Here is a 26,712-nt window from a genome sequence, read left to right as displayed (position 1 = left end):
CTCAAAACAACAACAACAAAAATTTAGCAGGGTGTGGTGGGTAGTGGCACACACTTGTAGTCCCAGCTACTCAGGAGGTTGAGGTGGGAGGATCACCTGAGCCCAGAAGTTGAGGCTGCAGTGAGCTAGGATTGTGCCATTGTACTCTAGCCAGGGCAACAGAATGAGACAAGAAAGAAAGAGAGAAAGAGAGACAGAGAAAGAGAGAAAGGGAGAAAGGGAGAGAGAGAGAGAAAGAGAGAATGAGAGAGAGAGAGAGAGAGAGAGAGAGAGAGAGAGAGAAAGACCGACCGACCACCACAAGAGCAAGTAAGTTCAGGTTAAATTAAGAAAAATGTTGGTGGTAACAAACGGCCTGTCAGATCATTCATTTCCCTGTTTCTTTACAAATCCCTTGCATTGTTTTTTCAGCACAAGTTCTTACCCAGCTATCCTCTAAAACAAATCTTTGAAGGAATAGAAGGAAACACGTTATCACTCACAGTTCAATGGTTTCCTGGAATGTTCTGTGCACCTCTGTTTGTGTGTGTATTTTTTCTTTTCTTTTTCCTCTTCTTTTTTTTTAAACTCTAAAGCTGGTCTTACTAGTCTGACACAACTTTGTTGACCTGAGAAAATCTGTGTCTGTCTGCTTTGTCTCATCTTGTCCATCCCCTTCCCAAATTTCCATTTTGGTATGTGTTCCCTGGCAGCTCTTTTTTAAATGCATCTTTTTGTCTGTCCCTCTGCATGTCTCAGACATACAACAAAACCAGGAAAAGAATGAACTTCCAGGTCTCTGAACACAGTTTTGGCCTTTATTTGATAATATTTCTACCAACTTATTTGCCACAAAACACAGAAAGAAAAGTCCCGCTGTACTCGTTGTATGGATTTAGAGTGTGTGATGGGCTGGGAGCGGTGGCTCACACCTGTAATCCCAGCACTTTGGGAGGCCGAGGTGGGCGGATCACCTGAGGACAGGAATTCGATACCAGCCTGGCCAACGTGGCGAAACCCCATCTCTACTAAAAAATACAAAAAATAGCTTGGTGTGGTGGCACGTGCCTGTAGTCCCAGCTCCTCGGGAGGCTAAGGCAGGGGAATCACTTGAACCTGGGAGGCAGGGGTTGCAGTGAGCCAAGATCGCACCACTGCACTCCAGCCTGGGTTGACAGAGCGAGATTCTGTCTCAAAAAAAAATAAAAAAGATAGAATGTATGACTGATAGAGTATCTATAATTATCCTACAAAACTTAAATACTCCTCCCAAACCTTTTCAATGGACACAAAAATTATTTTCATAATAAAAATGTTAGAGGCATCTCGTAACATGAAATAGAGACACAACCCCACTCAACTGGATAAAGTTAGTCAGAAACAATACTGGTCTTAGAAGGAAACAGCGCCTCACACCTAAAAAGCAAAATGCTTAGTGGTTAATCTCCCAGAACGCATATGGGAGACAGATAATATACCTTTGGCTGCAAAACAAGGCATTGAGAGGTTAAAATGTCCTTGGAGTCAAGATGAGACAGAGATGGCAGGCACTCAAGAACCCAGTGTTCCTTCTGTGAGACACTAAAGACATCATTCATGCCGTTCTGTCCTGGGGACGAAACCCAGGCAGATGATAACACAACAGCATGGTGTTGCAAGAGTTTCCTGCAAGAGCTAAACACAAGGGAATGACCCAAGCCTTTATTTCCAAGCCTTCCCCCAGCCCCCATGAAACGACCCAGAATTTTGCACATTGTCAATTCTAAGCCACCTCCATGCAGACGCTTCCCTTAGCTACCAACAAAGAGTAGCAGTAATCATTATTAAGGAAGTACAACTGGAAAGTTTATGCATAGTTGCTAATCTTCCGTGAGTATTTAAATACACAGAGAAATGCGCATGAAGCCCTGCAGGCAATCCACACTCTCTGGTATCAGCCCAAGTCTGGAACAGAAAAGCAGGAAAACTGGAATGAACAACCTCAGAGACAGCATAAAGTGGTTGCATGAGACACACATAGAAGTCTTCCTCTGAGGGATATTTTTATACGTGAGTGGACTTTGGCCCCCATCCCTAATACTGAAGTGACTTACAATACTTTTCTCTTTTTTTTTTTTTTTTGAGACAGGGTCTTGCTGTTACCCAGACTGGAGTGCAGTGGTGCGATACTGGCTCACTGCAGCCTCCACCTCCCAGATTCACAGAATCCTCCCACCTCAGCCTCCCAAGTAGCTGGCATTACAGGTATGAGCCACCATTGTGCCCAGCTAATTTTTTTGTATATTTAGCAGAGATGAGGTTTCGCCATGTTGGCCAGGTGGACTTACAGTACTTTTATAAGGCATTTTATCTTGAAAGAAACCTCAGATGGAACTCCCAATTTACCTAGCACCTTAAATTGAGACTCCCACAAATATTGACTCTTTTTTTTTTTTTTTTTCTTTGAGACGGAGTCTCGCTGTCACCCAGGCTGGAGTGCAGTTGTGTGATCTGGGCTCACTGCAAGCTCCGCCTCCTGGGTTCACGCCATTCTCCTGCTTCAGCCTCCCGAAAAGCTGGGATTACAGTTGCCCGCCACCTCGCCCGGCTAATTTTTTGTATTTTTAGTAGACACGGAGTTTCACCGTATTAGCCAGGATGGTCTCTATCTCCTGACCTTGTGATCCACCCACCTCGGCCTCCCAAAGTGCTGGGATTACAGGTGTGAGCCACCACGCCCGGCCAATATTGACTCTTAAAGACAGACAATCATCAAGCCTCTAAAACAGCAGCCACCTCTCTACTTAATTGGTAACACATGCCAATGTTTGATTGCTCAGACTCCTAGGACTTGATCAGCCACTATTTCACCTTGAAGTCCTTGTGCGGTTCTCTGTGGACATGTGGATGACATCTGAATGCAACCCGTCGTAGCCTTCCAGACCTCAAATAAATCCCCTTTAGCTTTCTCTTCCATAACAACCCAATTCCTTTATTCCTTTTTTTGTTTTTGTTGGCTTTTCCTCCCTGAATCCTTGGGAATAATTGAGCTGTGATATGGATCTGATACATTACAATGATTCCTGCAGGTCAAACTTTCTTTTCATATACACATAAGCATTGAGAAGGGTTTTCTGTGAAATCGAGTCCTTGTATGTAAAATACTGATTCTGAAAGGCCAAAACATTCTGTCTACTGTGTCTTGGCTTAGTTGCTGTGGAGAGCTCAGGTATCTAAATTTAGATTTTTCCCATGGCTTAGCTCAGGCAAATGTCCTTCCCATGCAAAATAGATGGTGGCAGGACCTACAACTCTTCCCAGTCATCAGTGACCCTGCACCTATCCTCAGAGTCCTGGTTACGGTAGCCCACCCCCTAGTCACTCACCCTCTTTTTTCCCCGACAAGAGGATCACCCACATGCCCCCATGGAGGGTTCCACTGTCTAAACCATCAAAGACTGGGATAGAAGCAGTCACCAAGTCCCAAATACAGAATTAGAACTCAGGACCTATTTCCAATCTAAACAATGAAAAAATCAGAGTACAAGAGGTCAGCTCAGCACCAGATTAAATGCTTTTTTTTTTTTTTTGTCTGAGACAGAGTCTTGCTCTACCACCCAGTCTGGAGTGCAGTGGTGCAATCTCGGCTCACTGTAGCCTCTGCCTCCCAGGTTCAAGGATTCTCCTGCCTCAGCCTCCCAAGTAGCTGAGATTACAGACGCCCACCACTAGGTCCAGCTAATTTTTGTATTTTTGTAGAAAAGGGGTTTCACCATGTTGGCCAGGCTGGTCTCAAACGCCTGACCTCAAGTAATCCACCTGCCTCAGCCTCCCAGAGTGCTGTAATTAGAGTCATGAGCCACCACACCTGGCCTAAATGCACTCCTATAAGACAATGTGGAAGGTAGGGGCCAAATTCCACACAACCAGCTTAGAAGACAAACTTTTACAGCAAAGAGCCATCATTTGGAGAAGGACATATGTATAATGGCAAAGAGGTATTAATACGTGAAGTACCTGTGACATTGAGGATCGTTACCTAGAATTGACATTCAGTATTTACTTCACATAGCTCTGTAACTGGGTCTCTTGTAAACAGGCATTTTGTCCTCCCCCTTCCAATACTGTGAACCCATTATTATGTCACCTTTCCTCATGACAGTCCTATAAACTAGGTAAAGAACAAACGTCTCTATTCACAGACAGAACAGGGGAAACAAGATAAAAAATACAACTTTCCAGTATTTAACAAATTCTGTCAAGTCTAGACAAAAGGTATGATGTCTAAATGAAGCTGTTAGTGGGCTATGTTGAATCTCAAAATTATCTTTCTCCTTTTTTTTTTAAGAGATGATCTCATTCTGTTGCCCAGGCTGGAGGGCAGTGGCTCAATCATAGCTCACTGCAGCCTCGAACTCCTGGGCTCAAGTGATCCTCCCGCCTCAGCTTCCCAAGGAGCTGGGATGTGCCAGCATACTTGGCTTTTTTTTTTTTTTTTTTTTTGTAGAGATGAGGTCTCACAAAGTTGCCCAGGATCGTCTCGAGCTTCTGGACTCAATTGATCCTTCTGACTCAGCCTCCCAAAGTGCTAGGATTACAGGCATGAGCCACCATGCCTGGCCTCAAAATTGTCTTTTTAAATATGTCTGTGCTTTTCATAGTGTAACTACTATACAACTGAAATGTCGATTATGGCACAATTGATCATAACTGACTCACATACTTTGTGTTTTGTTTTTCATGGTGTCTCTCCTAGCCCAGAAGCTTCCTAAACCACTTTTCCAGAGGCTTTTTTAGGAACACACATTAAAACATGCTTCCTGAAGCAGAGCCACTCATTCCCGGGTCCCCTTCCTCATCCTTCAAAGAGCTCTGACTCTCAACTTTGTTTTTTGAGCTAGCATGGCATGCACACAAAATCCAAGCTTATGACTCTACAATGAGAGTGCTTTGATTTAAATAATCTTTCCTTCCTAATTTAGGCCCTCCCAACGAAAACTTAAACCTTTATGCTTCTTTACAGAGAAAAACAAGCATAAGGAAAGCCCCTCCATTTCCTACAAGAGACAGATCTCCAGGACTGAATTTTAAGCCATGGGGAAATTGCAAAGGGAGACACCTGAGCTCTTTTGAGCACTTGTGCCAAAACACAACAGATGGAATGGTTTGGCATTTCAGAATCCAGTTCCACAGAATAAAGAAGAATCTCCACTCTGGCAGTGGGGAGGAGGAAGGAAGTGGAGGTTTGTTGGCTTTACTTTGCCATCCATCCCTTTCTCTATGTGGTAGAGAAGGACTGAGAGGAGTGATCCCACAGGACACAGGTTCCCCCGTGTCTGTCACCTTCAAGGGGGCTCAGGCTCCCAGGGGGAAGGCACAGGGGAATCACGGAGTTCAGTTCCAGGCTCCAGGACTTTCCAGAAGGGACCCCTGAGCAGGACTCGCTTTCACCGTCAAGTATTGCTTTCTTTTTTAGACACAAGATTTTGCTCTGTTGCCCTGGCTGGACTGCAGTGATGCAATCATAGCTCATCGCATCTGCAACCACCAGGGCTTAAGCAATCCTCCCACCTTAGCCTCTGGAGTAGTGGGGACCACAAGCACATACCACCACAGCCAGGTAATTTTGTTGTTGTTTTTGTAAAGACAGGGTCTCACTATGTTGCCTAGGCTGGTTTTGCACTCCTGGCCGCAAGCAATCCTCCTGTCTCAGCCTCCCAAAGCACTGAAGTTACAGGTATATGAACCACATCTGGCCAGCACCAAGTATTTTGACAAAGCACCTATTAGGGTAATTCCAAGTAATCTCTGGCAAACATGGTTTCAGTTAGGCAAGACTACAAGAAACCGCCCACATCTATTTTGTAAAAATCTGTGCTCCCCTTTCCTACTTGAGTAGACACGCTCACAAACAGACACAAAGGCAGACCCCTCCCTCTAGTTTTTCTAACATACCAGAGCCCCCTGCAAACACCTGAGGCCCTCAATGCTGATTTTCGCTGGAATCTCATCACAGTTGAACAGGGTAGAAGCAGCTTAACCTCTCTCCTTGTGCCTCGCTGGAACCAGTGGCTCGTCTTCCACGGGCTGCCCCTGATCCCTGGGCTTTGAGGGACAAAGAGCTTGCTGGAAATAGTGATCACCCTCGTGATGACACCAGGTCAACAGGCAGCTGTGGGCTCATTAAGATGTAAGCCGGCCGGGCGCGGTGGCTCACGCCTGTAATCCCAGCACTTTGGGAGGCCCAGGCGGGCGGATCACGAGGTCAGGAGATCGAGACCATCCTGGCTAACACGGTGAAACCCCGTCTCTACTAAAAAATACAAAAAATTAGCCGGGCTTGGTGGCGGGCGCCTGTAGTGCCAGCTACTTGAGAGGGTGAGGCAGGAGAATGGCGTGAACCCGGGAGGTGGAGCTTGCAATGAGCCGAGATCGCGCCACTGCACTCCAGCCTGGGTGACAGAGCGAGACTCCGTCTCAAAAAAAGAAAAAAAAAAAAAAAAGAAGTAAGCCCCTGAGTGACAGGGGCTGCTTTTGTGTGCTGTCTGCCCACGGTTTTGCTCTAGTATGAAGGCTTAGGCTAGTAGTAAGGCTTAGGTGCAATAGACTCTACTCCTTATTTATGAGCCCTGATTCTCAGGGTGTATCTGTTACACATTTGTTCTCTCACAGTCACCCCTCACTTCCTCCAACTATTAGCCTCAGATTTTCAAAACCAGTGAGGATTTCAAATATGTCCCGCTCATGTCTGTGTGTGTGTGTCTGTGGGTCTGTGTGTATCTATGCGTTTGGGTTTGGAGAACACAGCAACCAAGTATAATATTCTCTTGTCTACAATCACTTTCCCTTCTCCATCCAGAATCTGGTATATAACACTTGTAATATAGTCCTCATCAGAGTTAGGTTGAGGGGACAGGGTCTCATTCTGCCACCCAGGCTGGAATGCAATGATATAATCACGGCTCACGGCAGCCTTGACCTCTTGGGCTCAAGTGATCCTCCCACCTCAGCCTCCCAAGTAGCTGGGATTATAGGTATGCACCACTATCCCTGGCTAAAGAGTTTTTAAAAGCGCAAGGTACAAGTACTGGTAAATATGTACCTGGGAGGAACCCCTCTCTGCTTCTGTGGCCATCTTTGTTGCCCACTGAAGGAAGAGAAAGGAGTTAGGAGGCAGGACCTGACTCAGGTCTGGCCTTACCAGAAAATAAAACACTGGGGCCTAGGGGAAGCATCAGGATGGGTGCCCAAGTCGCTGGGACTGCTACGTTATCCCGCCTTGTCACTGTCCCTCTGCACTTTCTCAAGCAGGGTCATGCACTCCAGGCAGGAATCTGTTTTCAGGAAGCATCAGTCCCAGTTCCAGATCTTTGGCTAAGTACTGGCACGCTCCTGGATAAGTCACCTGAGCTTCCTGGCCTCAGTGTCCTCATCTGCCATTTAGGGAAGGCTGGATACATCTTTCAGCTTCTGTGTTCTCTGATTCCCTGAGGTTGACTTTGATCTGAGTTTGTTTTGATTCTCAAATCAAGACTTGGTAGACTTCACTAGGTGGTAATGCAACTAAAAAAGGGTCCTGGGATGGGATGAGGGAATCAAGGACTCATTTTGATCCAGGATCTAAAAGTAAAAAAGAAAATGAGAAAGGGGAAGGGCCCCACATCTCATCCGGGCTCCCCACAGATGTCTGGTGAACACGTGTGGGCCTCAGGGGAATTTGGAGTATGGTTCCAACCCTCCCTCCACCCCCCACGCCGTTCCATCCTTTCTCAGGAATAAGCTTGGCACTTTTTGCCAAACACTTCTCTAGTAAATATCTTTGTTTCCATTCCCCCAATACACCAAAGTTTTTTAAAGCCATTAGAAAACCAGGTAGAAACTGAAGAGCCTCTCTGGACAGAATATTCTTCAACAGTACGAGGGGCAGAACTGAAGTCTCCATGTAGAAGTCATTACACTGCCTTTTCCCATTAGGCCACCAGTACCATGGCCATGGGTTTCCTTACCTCACTCTATTCATGCTACCTTTGAAAAAAATTGTTTTCCTGACCATCTTGTTTCATACATTTATATGTCCCCAAATCCCTTTGCTCTGCTCAGTCCAAAATACCTTCAGTCTTTCCAACTCCCTGGGCCTTCTTTCTCTCCTGCATATAAATGGCTAGCAGCTGTTTTCACTGACCTATGACCTTATGATGCGTCCCACTTTGTTGTTATTCTCTGTTGACCAGATATTCCATATCTTGGCCATGCATTTCTTTGGCTGCTGGCTCAATATCACCTCAACACAAAGATATCTGAACGAAACACTCTGGGCCACAAAATCAGCCTCTAAGACTGAGATAGCAGTGGTATGGTCAGAACCAAAATAAGGCAAAGCAGACAGACACACACACACACAAAGCAAATCCTCCTACTGCTAACAGTTTCTACTAAAATGTAAAACTAAGGCTTTTGAAAACCAGTGTTGGTTCTGTTCCTTCAGGAAAATCACAATTTCTCCTTAATTCTATTTCTACTTCAAATGTGGGGACTGTGCTTTTTTTTTCCCAAGGTTTCTTTCAGGACATCTTAATTTAGGCAATGGGAAGCCAGAGACATGGAATGAGGCATCAGATAGCAAGCCTTATCACCTGCACTTACTCCAGGGCCAGGGATTTTCATGCTTGAGGGTTTGCTTTTTATTTTCTATGGGCTTTGGCGAAGTCTCTTCTCTGCTTCTACAGTCTCAAAACATTTTCCTCATGGGAAAGACAGTTAGTTAACTTCTCAAGCACTAGGAAGAACTGAGATCTCTGCTGCCTCCACTCCAAGGATTGCCACTATGGGCTCCAAGCCAGATCAACACTGTCTGTGTGCAGAGTTGTAGTCAGGCAGGAACAAGATGGGACATGCCAGACCTCATCTGCACTTTGCGAAGGTGACACACACCAGCCCCGCAGGCAACTGTGCCTGCTTTTAGAAACTCCTAAGCAAAGTACTGAGGCAGAACCAGAGGGAGAAGTGAGGGGAAAAGCAGCTTTTTTTTTTTTTTTTTTTTTTTGGTCATCTGAGCTTGAGTTAATCGGCAGCACTCGGCTTTCTAACCTTTGAGGCATTTCTAAATCTGATCCCACACACTCATTCTTTCAGAGCCCGGCAAGGTAAGATGAACTGATTACACCATACTTAGAAACATCCTGTAGAATCAAAGAAAAATGCTTCCTGCCTTTGTACAGAAAATTAAGAGATTTTTCAAAGTGAAGAAAAGCAATTTAATTACCATTAAACAAGGTTTAACTGCTGTGGGCAATCATTCTCTGCTTGAGAAGCATAATTTCACTTGAAAGAAACCAGATTGGCCCCCGGCCCTCTTTTGGCTTATCCTCAGCAAGAAGCGACTGGGAACAACTGACTCTTGGGTGAGCTGTCCAGATAGTTAGAAACATATCACACAGCAGTTTAGGGACCCCAGGGGGGGCAGGGAAACCCCAGAATCAGGCCACTCCTGTACCTTGCTCCTGTCTGCTGCTCGGAAGGGCCCCCCACAGCAGAAACATGTGATGCCTCCTTTCTTCTTTGGCCCTTCTACAGAAGGGCAGACATGGGTCTTCATGTCCAGATGTGGCATGGAACATCAGCCAGACCTTTAATGTTCTGGGAGCAGTCCAGTGCTGAGCCCACGGGTGGCGGGACCCGCCCGCTCCACAACCAGCTCGTCCATTCTCCCAGCAAGCAGGCCTGACGCACCCCTGACAGTCAGCCGCTCAGGATTTGAAGTGTGATTCACAGCTAGAAAATACCGGTTTTTCATTACTATGCAAATGCCACCTGGGTGGGGTTTAGGTAAATCCGGATGTGGACACTAACAATGAGGGCAAGAATGGGTCTCTTTTCCGTAGTTCTCACTGGGCCCAGTGGGTTCCACCCAGTGGCAGTCTTTAAAGAAAATTACAGGCCGGGTGTCATGGCTCATGCCTGTAATCCCAGCACTCTGGGAAGCCGAGGGAGGTGGATGGCTTGAGGTCAGGAGTTCGAGACCAGCCTGGCCAACATGGTGAAACCCTGTGTCTACTAAAAAATACAAAAATTAGCTGGGCATGGTGGCGGGCTCCTGTAATCCCAGCTACTTGGGAGGCTGAGGCAGGAGAATCACTTGAACCCAGGAGGCAGAGGTTGCTGTGAGCCAAGATTACGTCATTGCACTCCAGCCTGGGTGACAGAGTAAGACTCCGTCTCAAAAAAAAAAAAAAATTAGAGTTGAACAGAGTTGGACGGAGACATTTATAGTTCCCCAGTATCCAATGGGCAGTTAATGTTCACATATAGCCCAAGGTTAGAGACAGATCTTTACCTAATTCATATCAAAATATATTTATTGTGTCATTCCCACCACGTGGCAAAGCCCAAATCACCAACTGTCTCAACACCAGTGTTTGGTCAAATTGTTTCATCCAGAAAGGCAGTGCAGTCATGTGAATGTGCTTCATTTGTGGCCATATCTGCCTTAAAAGCATACCAGGTTGGAGCTTCTAGAACAACAGAATAAAGAAAGGCAGGGCTGTAACATCCAAATGCTTAGGAACCACCCAGAGGACATGCCCCCCATTTCCTAATGGTATGGCCTGCAGCCCCCAACCCACCTAACTGTTTTCAACACATGGCCTCTGAAGAATACGTCCTGCTGGATAAGAGTCACTGTGAGTCAGAAACTTGGATTCGAGCTGGCTCTGGCACTCACAGGCTATGAGACCAACTCATATCCCATATCCCAGCATTTCTCTGAGGCTGTTTTCTCATCTGTAAAGTGAGGAAGTTGCATTCCCATCATTTTCACAAATGACCCCAAGTTGAACAATGCCCGGTGTTAAGGGCATCAGTGGGACTCACAACATCTCCCTGTCTTTGTTCAGCCAATCTTTGCTGGGTGCATTCTGAGCAACTGACCTGAGCCAGGAGAGGGGAGAAGCTTACAAGTCAGCATCTTTCAATATAATTAATGGTTTCTTTCTTTTCAATTGAGAGCAGATGAAAAAGCAAAGATTAGGTAAATGGTCATGTCATTGAGGTAACCCGAACTCAGGGATGCATGACACACGTATCCTGTTTCAGACATGATTGCATAGAACTATATCCTTTTTTTTGTGATCAAGAGGAAACATTTTATTTTATTTTTATTATTTTTATATTCTTTTTGAGACAGAGTCTCACTCTGTCACCCAGGCTGGAGTGCAGTGGCCTGATCATGGCTCACTGCAGCCTCAACCTCCTGGGCTCAGGTGATCCTCCCGCTTCAACCTCCCGAGCAGCTGGGACTACAGGTGAGTACCACTATGCCTGGATAATTTTTTCTTTCCTTTTCTTTTTTTTTTTTCTTTGGAGACAGAGTCCCGCTGTGTTGCCCAGGCTGGATTGCAGTGGCACAATCTTGGCTCACTTCAATCTCTACCTCCCAGGTTCAAGAGATTCTTCTGCCTCAGCCTCCTGAGTAGCTGGGATTACAGGCACATGCCTACACACTGGGCTAAGGAGTAAACATTTTAGTAACCAAGTGGACACTGAAGATGTTGAGAACTGGTAAACAAACAATCAAGCAAGTAAGAACAGAAATACCAGCATTTGGCTTTTGAGTTAATGACAAGAACACTCGGCATGGGAGCCTGGGTGAGCAAATCACAGATCTTCAAGCTTCTGTAAGTGGCCTGCATTGGGGGTCACCGTGGTGAGCTACGTAGCACCCTGGAGTTCCACAGTGCTTCTCTGAGACAGCCACAGAGATAGAAGGACAGCTTAGTGAGGAGTCCCCACTACCCCATCGAAAGGGGACTTCCATGAATAATAGTGCTTGCACAAAAGCTAACTCTCTTCTATCACTCTTCTGCTTAAAACCCTCAGCACTATATTAAGATTAAAATCCTGATTGAAGCTTACTAAGCGCCTCTGGCTACCTCTCCCAGGGCACCTGGGTCCTTCAGCAGACAAGCCCCTTCCTTCCTCTGGGTCTCAGCACTTGCTGTGTGCACCTCTTCCCAAAAAACTCTTGCTCACTCTTTGCCCGGCTGTTTGCAAGACTGGCTCCTTTTCAGGTAATCCTATTTCTTTTTTTTTTTTTTAATTATTTGTAGAGGCGGGGTCTCGCTATATTACCCAGGCTGGTCTCAAACTCCCGGGCTCAATCGATCTTTCTGCCTCAGCCTCCCAAAGTGCTGGGAAAGTGCTGGGATTACAAGCATGAGCCACTGCACCTGGCCTTCCTCTACTTCCTTCATGGCAGGTATCTCCATCTAAAATTATCTGTATATCTGTTTCCTCCTCTGCCTTCCCACCATTACATTCTGAGCTCTATGCAGGCAGTGAGTGTCTGTGTTTTGCCTCTCGCTGTCATCCCAGAGACTAGGGCAATACCTGTCCAAACTAGACTCAATCAGTGCCGAGTAAATGAATGAATGAATGAATGGTTATTTTTTTTTTCCAAATCTGATCACATGTAGCTGTCCCATCTTTGTGCTAATCAAAATTATCTTTCTTTTTTGGACACAGTGTCTTGCTGTCGCCCAGCTTGTGGCACAGTGGCGCAATCAGAGCTCATTTCAGGCTCAACCTTCTGGCCTCAAGCAATCCTTTGGCCTCGGCTTCTAGAGTAGCTAGGACCACAGGTGTGTGCCAGCATGCCTGGCTAATTTTTTTTTATTTTTTGTAGGGACAGGCTCTCACAATGTTGCCCAGGTTGGTCTTGAACTCCTGGGCTCAAACAATCCTCCCTCTTGGGCCTCCCAAAGTGCTGGAATTCCAGGTGTGAGCCATCTCACCAGTTCAAAATGATCTGATGCTTACACTTAATCACTCAAATAGCACTTTCATATACTTAATCTTCAAAATTATAATCTGAGGCCTTTTTGTGGGTTGGTGAAGAGCCACTGGCTATGAACCTGTTTGCCTTTAACTAAGTAATCTTGAAGGAGACAATTCCTCCAGCTTCAGATTCCTCCTCCATAAAACTAGGATGATTCCTCGAGCAGCTCCCACCATGAACAACCTATGAATGTTTAAGACATTGACTAGATAGAAACTGATCCTTTCTCACAAAATGTTTTGTGAGATGTCTCCCTTATTCCTGCTACGATGTCCTGAACATCTACTATATGCCAGGTGCTGGGTTAAGTACTTCTCACACACTGCCTCTGATCTGCAAACCAACTTGCTGGGCAGGAATTCTTAGCTCCCCGCCCCTTTTTTTTTTTTTTTTTTTTTTTTAACAGATGCAGAAGCTTACTTGGACCAAGTGACTTGTCCCAGACCACACAAACAGTAAGTAGTAGAACCAGTTCTCAAATCTAAGTCTGTCCAACAACAAAGGTGAAATTCCTTCCACCTCCCCACAGTGCCCCTAGGAAAGGGACTACAAAAACATCAGATTAGGGTCCCTATTTACAACAGGAGTTAGGCATGTAAGGGAGGCAGGTGTGGGATGGAGAGGGGGAGCCCCATCTTAATACAGCAGCTGTTACTTAGCTTTAGTGGAGGTTGTAACAAAGGAATCGGAACTCAATGTTTCCTGATCATCTGATTTTTTAAAATCAGGATGTAAGAAATTTTTTACATGAAAACTCCATTGTGCAGGCCTTTCTGGAGAAACTGACCCCAGGCCAGGGCCTCTGATCTGTTTTTTTCTTTCTTTTTTTTTCTTGTTTTTTTTTTTTTTTTTTTTTTGAGACAGTGTCTCTTTCTGTTTCTTAGGCTAGAATGCAGTAGTTACAATCACAGCTCACTGCAGCCTTGATCTCCCAAGCTCAAGGGATCCTCCCATCTTAACTTCCTGCATAGCTGGAACTACAGGCATGTGCCACCACATCAGGCTCAATTTTAATTTTAATTTAATTTTTTTGAGACATAGTCTCACTCTGTCGCCCAGGCTGGAGTGCAGTGGTGTGATCTCGGCTCACTGCAACCTCCGCCTCCTGGGTTCAAGTGATTCTCATGCCTCAGCCTCCTGAGTAGCTAGGATTACAGGGGTGCACCACCACACCCAGCTATTTTTTGTATTTTTAGTAGACACAGGTTTCATCATGTTGCCCAGGCTGGTCTCAAACCCCTGACCTCAGGTGATCCACCCACCTCAGCCTCCCAAAGTGCTGTGATTACAGGTGTGAGCCATAGCACCTGGCCTAATTTTTTTCATTTTTCTGTGAAGACAGGGTCTTCCTGTGTTGCTCAGGCTGATCTCAGATTGCTGGTCTCAAGCAATCTGCTCTCTCGACCTCCTTAAGTGCTGGGATTACAGGTGTGAGCCACTGCACCCGGCCCAATCTATTCTTATTCTGGCTTGCATCAATCATTGACCAATGAAAGTTGACAAATGTGGCCAGGCACAGTGGCTCACGCCTGTAATCCCAGCACTTTGTGAGGCCGAGGGGCGGGGGGTGGGCAGATCACTTGAGGTCAGGAGTTTGAGACCAGCTTGGCCATCATGGCGAAACTCCGTCTCTATTAACAATACAAAAAAAAAAAAAATTAGCAAGGCGTGGTGGCAGGCACATGTAGTCCCAGTTACTCCAGAGGCTGAAGCAGGAGAATCGCTTGAACCTGGGAGGTGGAGGTTGCAGTGAGCCGAGATTGCGCCACTGCACTCCAGCCTGGGTGACAGAGAGAGACCCCATTTCAAAAAAAAAAAGTGCCAAATGTGTCCCTTCAATTCCAGTCAGCACTTTTGGAAACACGCGTAAAATTGTTGCCAATGTGCATTCTGTGTGTTTGGGAGTCATTGTGCAAAATGCGTGGGCAGCAAGCACTCTTTTGTGAACCAAGTTCTATGAACCACCAAGTATTCTTTCTCTAGGCTGAATTCCAAGGCTCTGTTCAGAGAGTACAGGTTTCTGAAGGAAGGGATTTGATCTATGTATGCGGCTTTCTTCTTAAAATGCCAGGAAGAAGGTTGCTTAACAAATGCTTTTGACATTCCTGACAAGTAATCTCCAGGCTTGACTTCAGGGGTGAGTTACACCTCTCCCTCCCCACGCCTTTTTGAGAGTATTGCCAACAAGCAGCAGCAAAACTGATGTTCTTCAACTCCACCCTTTGGTGCATCACTGAAATGGCAAAAAGGTAGGAGGTGCAGAGGAGAACTTCAGGCCACGGAGGCAAGAAGTCAGTCATTGATTCCTGGCATGATTGTGATAGTCGTGTTTGGAAATCCAACCCATAAAATGAGCCACCGGTTTCACAGCGCACACCTTAGAGATCTCAGAAACATGCCCTAGGCTTGCTTGAGTCACAATAGCTGGGTTCAAATCTCCACTCCTGTTGTCTAAAGAACGAACTGTCTAGGCTAGTCTCAGCCTTGGTTTACAGGTATCTCTCCGCAGGGTTTTTTTGGGAGAACTATATTTGAAATAATGTGTGTGAAAGTTTCTGAGATATAGTAAGTAATAATACTTGTGGGGATTCTAAGGCTTACTTGCAGTGATTTAAGTGTATATGGGGAATATTTTTATTGTATTGCATTGGCATGAATAAAGACATTTGAGATTTGGATGTTTACGTCTTAAAAAGCCAGTGGTATTTAATATTTGCAGGAAGAAAATGTTGTATTTACCCTATAATATAGGAAACTTGGCCCATTTTTCTAATGATATAGAAAAAGCTCAATTAGGCTTAAATATGACCTAGCACCACCCCAAGCCTACAGCACTTGTATTCTCTTTAATAAAAATTGCGTAAATTATAGCTTTCTCTTGATTTGCACAGTACGGGCTCAATTCTACCCCCTTTCCCCTAAGTAGAGTTGTTTCTTACTATTTTTCAGGTTAACCAACTAATGTCAGACATATGTTTCTTCACCAAACACTGCATTAGGGGACGTTTATTTTACATTTGTTCCCTTTTGCAAATATTTGCAGTTAGTTGCAGAACTGAGCTATTTTATGAAGTACAGAAAATATGTCCAGGGAAAACATAAGGTTTCAAAAGTAGCTTTTGAGAAGGAGAAAGGAAGAAAAGTCTAATTACAGTGAAGATAGGTACTGATTTGTGCTAAGAGAATGTATAAATCACGTCCACTACACTCGTGGTTTTAATGCATTCTGTGCATCTGAATTAAACAGGAGCTAGTGTTTGAAATTATGTCTAAAGCTTTCTTCAGTGATTTGAGAATATAAAAAGTAGTGTTTCTTTTCTTTCAAAAGACATCCCTCTCGCAGTGTGCCTTCTATTCTTGACTTGTCTTGCTATAAAAGAAAAAGCTCTCACAGTCTTTTCAAATCTAAATAGTCTGTACATTAAAACAGTTTCTTTTTTCATTTAGGAAACTGAATCATAGCTATACAGTTACAAACATAATATGAAAACCTAAACACCTTTTATCTAAAATGAACCCTCAGCAAATTAGCAAGAGGTAAGGTTTAGGTATGAGGGACATTTTTTTTTTTTTTTTTTTTTTTTTTTGAGATGGAGTCTTGCTTTGTTGCCCAGGCTGGAGGGCAGTGGAGTGATCTCGGCTCACTGCAACCTCCGCCTCCCAAGTTCAAGCGATTCTCCTGTCTCAGCCCCCCTAGTAGCTGGGATTACAGGCACCCGCCACCATGCCCGGCTAATTTTTATATTTTTAGTAGAGACGGGATTTCACCATGTTGGCCAGGCTGGTCTTGAACTCCTGACCTCAGGTGATCCACCTGCCTTGGCCTCCCAAAGTGCTGGGATTACAGGCATGAGCCACTGCGCCCGGCCTAAAGGACATTTCGGTATACATTTAAAGTGAATGTTTTATACAATGAGTCAAAAGATGCCCTGACCTACAATAAATTTAATTCTTTTGTTGATAATTCCAGGCAACTTAAACATATTCAAAGCAAACATGGGATGGTTAGGACCCAAAACAGCATTTGTTTAGAAAGATGAGGTCCTATCTGGGATTCCTTTTGCCAAGGGAAGATGCCACTGGAAATGAGACTACTAATGCCCCAAGAAGTGACTGATCCTATAATGGAAAAGGGAAAAAAGAAAAAGAGAACTGCTTCCTTCTTCAAGGGACAACCACATCAAAGCACAAATGCACTCCTGCGTAGGTGTGTGAGATGAAGGTACCATCTCAGCCACTGTAGAAACTGCTGGCCTCCCTTGAAAGAACACAGGCCACATTCCAGGGCAACCATTTCTGTTTAAACTAGTTTTTAAATGTTAAAATGTTATATGCATATGATGACAATATAAATGGTAGCAAAATATAGGTGTTAAGAATAAAAGCTTCTGTCCTCATTAGTCTTCTAGTCCCTCTCTCTGATTTATTGGACATCATTCCAGAAATTTTTTTCCTTTAAGACGGAGCCTCACTCTGTTGTCCAGGCTGGAGGGCAGTGGCGCAATCTCAGCTCACTGCAAGCTCCACCTCCCGGGTTCATGCCATTCTCCTGCCTCAGCCTCCTGAGTAGCTGGGACTACAGGCGCCCGCCACAACACCCTGCTAATTTTGTTTTTGTATTTTTAGTAGAGACGGGGTTTCACCGTGTTAGCCAGGATGGTTTCGATCTCCTAACCTCATGATCTGCCTCCCCTTGGCCTCCCAAAGTGCTGGGATTACAAGCGTGAGCCACCACGCCCAGCCTGGAAATTAATGTGTAGACAAGTACACAGAAAATGCACATGGCTTTTTATACAAATAGGATCCACCCTTTTTAAAACAAATGGTGGGCTGAGTGCAGTAGCTCATGCCTATAATCCCAACACTTGGGGAGGCAGAGGCGAGAGGATTGCTTGAGACCAGGAGGAGTTCGAGACCAGCCTGGGCAAAACACAGTGAGACCCCGCCTCTAAAAAGAAATTTAAAAAACTAAAATGAAAATAAAATAATACCTGGGTGATGAAACAATCTGTACAACAAAGCCCCATGACACAAGTTTACCTATGTAACAAATCTGCACACATACCCCTGAACTTAAATTAAAAGTTAAAAAAGAGTTTCATAATGAAAGGGGCATTTGAAAAAAAAAAAAAAGAAAAGAAAATAAGGGTCAGATAGACTATGAGACTAAGCCAAAGGGCCATACTGTTGGTTAAGTAAGCATGAACATGCATTTAATGAATAATATATGGTTGTTTTTTTTTTTGAGACAGAGCCTTGCTCTGTCACCTAGGCTGGAGTGCAGTGGTGTGATCTCCGTTCACTGCAGCCTCCGCCATCGGGTTCCAGTGATTCTCCTGCCTCAGCCTCCTAAGTAGCTGGAATTGCAGATGCGCACCACCGTGTGCAGCTAATTTTTATATTTTTAGTAGAGATCGGGTTTCGCCATGTTGGCCAGGCTGGTCTCAAACTCCTGGCCTCAACTGATCCTCCTGCCTTGGCTTCCAAGATGGGATTACAGACATGACCCAGCAAACCCAGCATAAGTTTTAAATAGTTACATGTTCACGGTTAACAGTTTAGAAAAGCAAGAACCAAACTAAAGTATCACTAGTAATTGTTAGAAAATAAAATAATAAATGGGATCATATTAACTCTACTGCTCGGTAGATTGTTTACTAAATATAACTTGGTTATGTGTTCCTACCCACATGTCAAGTGTATTTCACACATTGGCATCACTGTAGTGAACTGTATTCTCTGAACGTACCATAATATCCCCTGCAACATTCATATCGACAGAATAAACTGAGTGTTTTTGAGAAAAAGTTTGGGCAATACCTTCCAAAACTAGCAATCCAACTTGACATTCTAGAAATTTGTCCTTCAGATTCGTTCCCACATGCACAGATACAAGGATGGTCACTGCAGTCCTGTTCACAACAGGGAGAGAAAAAAGAAGCAATCTAACCAGCAATTAAAAGGGGTCAAGTTTATCTATGATGGGGCCACTTTATAATTGCTTTGAAGAGAGAATAGTTTTAAATGAGAGTCTGTCTTCTTCTGACCGTCATAAACACACACACAGCCCACAAGGGAGAAATTGAAAATTGGCCTTTGTGAGGCTCTTTACCGGAGCTGCTTTCTTCAGTAGTCTTAAAACTTATCATAAAAAAGGATGCAAATAATAAGTTAAAGATGAACGGAGCCCGTGCAACCCTTCTTTGTGCAAAATTCAAAGAGACAATTAAAAAACAAAAAGGTCCCTCCAAAACACAGGCCAAACGATTATCTGCAGCACATTTACCTTACTACCAGTGACTGCTATGAAAATGAGACCTGGCCAGGTGCAGTGGTTGACACCTTTGATCTAAACTTTTGGGGAGACTAAAGTGGGAGGATTGTTTGAGCCCAGGAGTCTGAGACCAGCCTAAGTAACAAAGTGAGACCCTGGCTCTACCTAAAAGAAAAAAAAAAAAAATTAGTTGGTGTGATGGTACATGCCTGCAGTCCCAGCTACTTGGGAGACAGAGGCAGGAGGATTGCTTGAGCCCGGGAGGTTGAGGCTGCAGTGAGACATGATTGTACCACTACACTCCAGCCTGAGTGATAAAGAGAGACCTTGTCTCGGAAAGGAAAAGGAAGGGGAAGGGGAAGGGGAGAAAATGAGATCTGACATCCCTGTGACCTTCTGAGGGGCATTCATGAACATTCATAATATTGAAGAGAGAAAATCACCAAGGGTCCATCAGAATCTTAGTTCTCTTATTCACTCCAAAAACGTATGAGGCTGCAGCCCATTTGCTTCTGAGTGGCAAGTAGTAGGTCCAAAGAGAGCCCTTTCTGGCAAGTCTACAGTGTCACACTGCAGCCAACAGAAGCCTCTCTCTGATGGGGTCTCTGCTCTCTCCATCTTGTATGATCTGAGCAGAGCACAGAGCAGGTGCAACCAGCCAGGGCGGAGACCACAGCTCCGAGGACTCCTATCGTCACTTCGACGGGACCAGCATGATCATGTGCGTTTACTAAATCTAGTGAAACTCAGAGTAGGAAACACCATTACCACGTTTGTTGCTTAATCATGAGCAAGTGAAACGGAGTGAAAGTGAAGAGTGCTATGAAGTGACAAATAGGGGGTGCGAAGTTAGACCGCCATATAGACTCCCGGTGCTGCAAGGGGCCACCAATGCTATCACCTACCTTGACTTTGGACTCACCATCCTCATGCTTCCCATAAACTTGGCTGTACATTCCTTTTCTATAAGAGCTCTAGAGAAGGGCTTCTCCAAATGCATAATATTTCACATTGGCTCTTGTAATTATACAACCAGGAAGTTGAAGACTGTTCCTGCTGCCTACTAAGTCTGTGGTCAGGAAGTAAAAGTATCAAAGCTTCCTGCCGTTAGGATAAGCTGGCCGGAAGCACTGGCTCATGTCTGTCATCCCAGCACTTTGAGAGGATGAGGCAGGCGGATCACTTGAGGCCGGGAGTTCGAGATCAGCCTGGGTAACACGGCAAAACCCTGTCTCTACTAAAATTAGAAAAATTAGCAGGGCATGGTAGCACATGCCTATAATCTCAGCTACTCGGGAGGCTGAGGCAGGAGAATCACTTGAATCCGGGAGGCGGAGGTTGCAATAAGCGGACATCTCGCCACTGCACTCCCGCCTGGGTGACAGAGTAAGACATGTCTCAAAAAAAAAAAAAAAAAAAAAAGAAAGAAAGAAAAGAGGGAAGCCCAATTAATGCCCAAGGATGAAAACAGCCTTCCCATTCTACCTGCTGATCCCTTCTGTGGCCAGACATCTGAAGAGAAAAAGCAAGGTCATCTGGGATGACACCATTCTTCAGGATGACTTTCTTTGAAATAAAGAGATTTTAGAAACTACACCTTCAAAACTGGATTGCTTCTGATCAAGTCAAATTAATAAATAGCGATGAAAAGGGCCTCAGCTGTAAAGAGCTTCTAGAAATCCCTCCCACCCAGGAGAACTCTCTGCTCTCTACCTCCCCGGTAGCCAGCCGAGAGGAACTTCCAGTTAAATTTTCAGTGCCTTTCTTTCTGAAGAAATCATTTCTGTGAAAATTCCAAAAATGACATTCAAAGAGAATAATGTAATACTTAAAGACCACTAATTCCTTTATCAAGAGGCATTGGAAATTCAGATGCTCTATTTTATTTGGAATATGAACAAAACTTCATATGCTCTTCAGTGGAAAGCCTGTGCTACGAGCAAGTAATGAAGGCAGGATCCGAATCCAGGCAGGAGACTTCTTCAGTCACTGCACGCAGCCCATCTGATTTACAAGCCTTTGCTAAAACCCACTAGGTGTAAAGTGCTCTGCTCAATGCGATCGCTACTTATTGATCAAAGATAATCTCTGAACGCTACGACAATTAAGTGTAATAAAAAGCTTCACTGGGCTTCTAAAACAGGATCTATATGTATATATACATACACAAACTCATATATATTCATTCTTATATATTCATATATATGAATATTGTATACATTCATAGATGTGTATATATAGTCCTATATATACACACAAACACACATATATATTCATTCGTATGTATTCATACATATGAATATTCTACACATTCATAGATGTGTATATATATATATATATTCCTGTATATATGTGAATATTCTACACAGCCATAAAAAAGAATGAAACACGTCTTTTGTAGTAACATGGTTGGAGCTGGAGGCCATTATCCTAAGTGAACTAGCTCAGAAACAAAAAAAACAAATACTGCATATTCTCACTTATTAAGCGGGAGTTAAACAATTGGTATATATGAACATAAAGATGGAAATAATGGACCCTGGGGACTGCAAAAGGAGGGAGGGTGGGAAGGGGGTGAGGGTTGAAAAATTACCTATGGGTTATGATGTTCACTAGTTGAATAATGGGTGCACTAGAAGCCCAGTCCCCACCAGTAGGCAATGTACCCATGAAACAAACATGCACATGTACCCCCTGAATCTAAAAGAAAATAAAATAAAATTTAAGAAACATTTCATCAGTGACTCAAAACCTATTTGGAGTTTTGGCACCATGTTTGAGTTCAAAACTCTTTTCTACCCTAAAATTGCAGCTTTGTGATTCATATTTGAAACTAAAACTTTGAATGAAATAAATATTTGCTTTCAATTGCAACAATAAAAAAATTGTCAAGTGGGACCTAATTAAACTGAAGAGCTTCTGTACACCAAAAGAAACCATCAACAGAGCAAACAACCTACAGAATGGGAGAAAATATTCACAAAGAATGCATCCAACAAAGGTCTAATGTCCAGAATATGTAAAGAACTTAAATCAACAAGCAAAAAACAACCCCATTAAAAAGTGGACAAAAGACATAAACAGACAATTCTGAAAAGAAGACATACAAGAAGCCAACAAACATATGAAAAAATGCTCCACGTCACTAATCATCAGAGATATGCAAATCAAAACCACAATGAGATACCATCTCACACCGGTCAGAATGGTTGTTATTAAAAAGTCAAAAAATAACATGCTGGTGAGGCTGTGGAGGAAAGGGAGTGCTTATACATTGCTGGTGGGAGTGAAATTAGTTCAGCCACCGTGGAAGGCAGTGTGGAGATTTCTCAAAGAGCTTAAAACAGAACTACCATTTGACTCAGTAATGCCATTATTGGGTATATACCCAAGGGAATATAGATCATTATACCGAGAAGACACATGCACTTCTATGTTCATCACCGTGCTATCCACAAAGACATGGAATCAACCTAGGTGTCCGTCAATGGTGGACTGGATAAAGAAAATGTGGTACATGTTCACCATGGAATTCTATAAAGCCATAAAAAAGAATGAAATCATTTCTTTGGCAGCAACATGGATGGAGCTGAATACCATTTTCCTAGCAAATTAATGCAGAAATAGAAAACCCAATACCACATGTTCTCACTTACAAGTGGGGGCTAAACATGGAGCACACATGGATGTAAACATGGGAACAAAATACACTGGGGACTACTAGAGTGGGGATGGAGGTGGGATGTGGGTTAAAAAACTACCTATTGGGTACTATGCTCATTATCTGGATCCAGTATACCCATGCAACAATCCTATACATGTACCTCCTATATCTAAAAATAAAAGCAGAAATTTAAAACAAATAAATAAATATTTGCTTTTCTCCTTATAGATCTACCCTTGGGATAAGGTAACTCAACCTTTTCCCAGTGCCCCCAAACAGTGCTGGGAATGAGAGTCCTCAATGCAGCCTAATTCATGGGACCACAGACATCATCTGTCATAGAATGAGTTCAGGCTCAGCAGCTCAGATGCCAAAATCCCTCTAGAATCCCCCTCGATGAGCCTACTCAATACTTCATTAAGAGCCTTCTCCCAGGAGTGTGGAACCTGAATAATTCTGAATAGTCTGACATGGAAAAACTGGAAAAATTGTTAAGAAAACCCTGGAATGAAGAGAGTGTTTTCCCCAGCTAGAAACACTGTGGCTAAAAATAGCACAATGAAAAACATATTTGTCTCTTACATACAATGGATGTAGGATATAATTATGGGCTGTGTTTCTGTCTGGGATAGAGGCAAGGGAGGAAGTGCCAACGTCTAGAATACAGAAGGAATAAAGGACAGTATATTCGACTCCTAGGCTCCTTCTGCACCCTGTAGCAACCACAGCCCCTTGGTGACTTGGGTTCTCACTCCGAAAATACCTGTAACATTAAAATCCGACTCTACTTGTATGGCCAAGAAAAATTTCAGGCAGGTAGAATTTAAAATTTTAAGTCTGTGCAGTACTGGAGCTCCTATCAGTAGGTACCAGTAAAAAGTAAATTAATATCACTTCTGTAGCCTGTCTAGAAAAAAGTGGCAAAAGCATAATTAATATAAAAATATAAATACCCTGGCTCCTTTGGCATACTTAACATTTTGTATTTTAATTACTTTACAGAATCATTGCTGCTGCTGGGAGTTATTTCAATAACACATTCATTTTTTTTCTATGCCTCCTAAAATGAGAAAAAGTGCAGGCAGTATAGGATAGTTTATTATGTCGTATTTCCCAGTAACTCTCTGAGCCACAGTTTCTGCATCTGTAAAGTGGAAATAGACTGCTAGCCAAGGCCGGGTGCAGTGGCTCAAGCCTGTAATCCCAGCATTTCGGGAGGCCAAGGTGGGTAGATCACTTGAGCCCAGGAGTTTGAGACCAGCCTGGGCATCATGGTGAAACCCCATCTCTACCAAAAATACAAAAAATTAGCCTGGCACAGTGGCATGCACCAGTAGTCAGGAGGCTGAGGTGGGAGGATTGCTTTAGCCGGGAGGCAGAGGTTGCAGTGAGCCAAGATCGCGCCACTGCACTTCAGCCTAGGTGGCAGAGTGAGACCCTGTCTTTTTTTTTTAAAAAAAAAAAGACTACTAGCCTTACTTGACTGCTAGTCATTACTTGTAATGATAAGAGGAAGTAAAGAATATAAAAACACTTTCTAAATATCCAATGCCATTTCAGCAGTCAATAAAAACAATCATTAACATTTGGAACATGAATGCTTAGAACTGTGCTACGTCTGTTTTGTTATTTAATCCTCACAACACAGCTAGCTACTGGCATCCCATTTTATGGACATGATGACTGAGGCCTAAGGACATGAATTTACTTTCCTCTAGTTATACAGCCACTAAGTGGTGAAGCCAGAACTCAACGCCCAGAACTTCCGATGTTGGAGGCACAGTTCTTTGTCACTCACTGTTTTGCAATAACTGTGGTAACAATTTAATATGAATGTGAGTTCTGGCATTAATCCACATTATCTAACTGCAAAATTTCAGGAGGTCTCATTCTCACACATGAGGCAGTTCTTAAAACATTTTGAAAGCCTATCCACTTATTCCTAAGTAGTTTTAGTTTCAAAAGTCCAAATTCCCATTTCACAGGTATCTTTCGATGATTCTGAACTCCGCTTTAACCTCACACGCTGCCATGCACTGTGTGGAAGAAACAATAGGCTTTCTTTGTGTTCTTTTTAAGCTTGGTGGAACTAACTACTCACAGGGCAACTGATGCCTCTGAACTAACCCCTTTCAGCTAACTCACAGATCCACAGCCGCATCCAGTGATTGCTATCACATCCAAATGGCTGGCAAGACTGTTTACTTATCCTCACTGGCAGCCGAAGCAAACAAAAAAAACCCTCATACTCCCAAGTGACCAGTATTTTCTTTTAAACCATGCTTTAAAAACTACCTTTATCACCCACACCCCACCTTCCTCCAAGAAGTCTTTATCTATCTTCTTGGAATTTAGAAATCCTGCTTCCCTAAAAGCTCAAAAACTGGATGTCTCTATCAGGACTGTTTTTTTCTAGTCTGGGAAAAATGCCTCGGTGAGAAAAGCATCAGATACATACTTTTAAAAAAGTGCAATGTTCATAAACCTGATTCAAAGATTATTTCTGCAACATTCCATGGATTTTATTTTTGGCATTTTTACAATGTGAAAATACAAAACTACCCATAGTCTCAATTTCAGGTTTGTCGTAAGAGTAAAAGAACACACACACACACACACACAAACACACACACACACACACACACATCTGGGAATAAATAAGAAATACATGGAGCATCTCAATTTTCAGATTGTCCATCTAACCCTTATCTGTGGCACTTTTATAGCAGTATTCACCGGGCACAATCAGCAGAACGCACAATGCATCGCTTGTTTTCAGCTCTATTCAAAAATCTCAGTTCATTCAATAAAAAAAAAAAAAAAAGCCCTTAAAAACAGCCCTTTAGCACGAACATTGCTATGGGAAAGCTGGGCTTATTGATTCACTTCTTCCTGCCAAGAGAACAATGCCGAGAAACAGAGCGAAATGTTTCCAAATAATTTTTGGCAAAAACTTGGAAGAAAAAAACCCCGCATATTTACCTGTACCCAGAGCTCCACAGGTGAGGCGGCAGTTAAAGCAGAAAATCTAATTCTTCTGGAAGTTTTTGTCTGGAACGGACTCCAGGGTCTTCCTTCGGAGCTGTCAGGTAAAACCCCCCTCCATGTCTGGGCTGTTTTCTTTTGCAGTTTTTCCCAGTGAAACTCTCGTCATTTGCATAAAACCTACTTGTAGCCTATAGGACTTTTTGAGTAGCTACTTGTTAAATCGGCTGTCTTGACATGCTCTTTCAAGCATGACATCATAAATCTCCATGGAAACCCTAACCCCACCTGCCGACATGCCAACATTACCTGTCAGGCGAAGACTTAAACAATCGTCTGAAATTGTTCATTAATGAAACCTTCTTAGGGGCTTTGGATCTCTGCACAGTATAATTTGTGCTGTTGGCAGAAACTTAGCCGGGAACGATGGCTTCATTTTCAAAGCCTGAGCTGTTTTGCAAAAAACAATGATCAAAATTATAGGCGTTCGTTAATCTGCCCCTCCCTGTCTAACAATGCACTTAATTGGTGGAAGAAAAACCTACAGCGGCCATGCGTGTCTCTCTCTGCAGGATAAAGTTACCTTGAAAACTCAGGTCTTGAAAAACCTTCAATTGATACTTCTTTTCCACTCTGTTCTCCACCAGCCCCCTTCCTAGAACTTTTTACCAGCAAAACTTGCAAAACAGGTTCCCTGCCAGAGTGTGTATGTGTGTGTGTGTGTGCATTTCCCCTCGGCTTCTATGGCTGCAGAGGTGGTAGGAAAAGGTGTGGAGAACTTTTTAACTCCTTCCTAACATATCCAGATATTTTGCATGTCTATCCTAGTTTATGTAAATTACCAGAATTACGCTGAAATCTATTCTAGGCTTTGGGAAATGGTCCGTAGGCTCTAAGATACTCAATATCTGAGTCCAGCCCTCTTTCTTCTCACCTCTAAATTCACTGCAGACACACCTCTTACTCCCCAGGTCTAAGACTGCTGACCACTAGGCACCA

The 26,712-nt window shown here is 43.6% G+C and overlaps 1 protein-coding gene across 30 annotated transcripts in view; it reads right to left on the bottom strand.

Annotated features, from left to right (window-relative positions):
- The window catches only part of KIAA1217, an 853,117-nt gene that overhangs the window by 282,796 nt on the left and 543,609 nt on the right, over positions 1–26,712 (bottom strand). For 9 of the 30 annotated variants that reach the window (XM_017016420.2, XM_047425520.1, XM_047425502.1 and 6 more), the window contains exon 1: positions 25,711–25,855. The exons of the other annotated variants lie outside the window; for them this stretch is intronic. The gene's annotated coding sequence lies outside the window, so the exon portion shown is untranslated. Of the gene's footprint in view, positions 1–25,710; positions 25,856–26,712 lie in introns of those variants that run through there. 30 annotated transcript variants of the gene reach the window in all.

Source organism: Homo sapiens, chromosome 10 (genome assembly GCF_000001405.40).
Source record: "Homo sapiens chromosome 10, GRCh38.p14 Primary Assembly".
NCBI lineage: Eukaryota > Metazoa > Chordata > Mammalia > Primates > Hominidae > Homo > Homo sapiens.
Note: the sequence above shows the minus strand (reverse complement) of the source record. Positions and strands in the feature narration are given on the sequence as shown.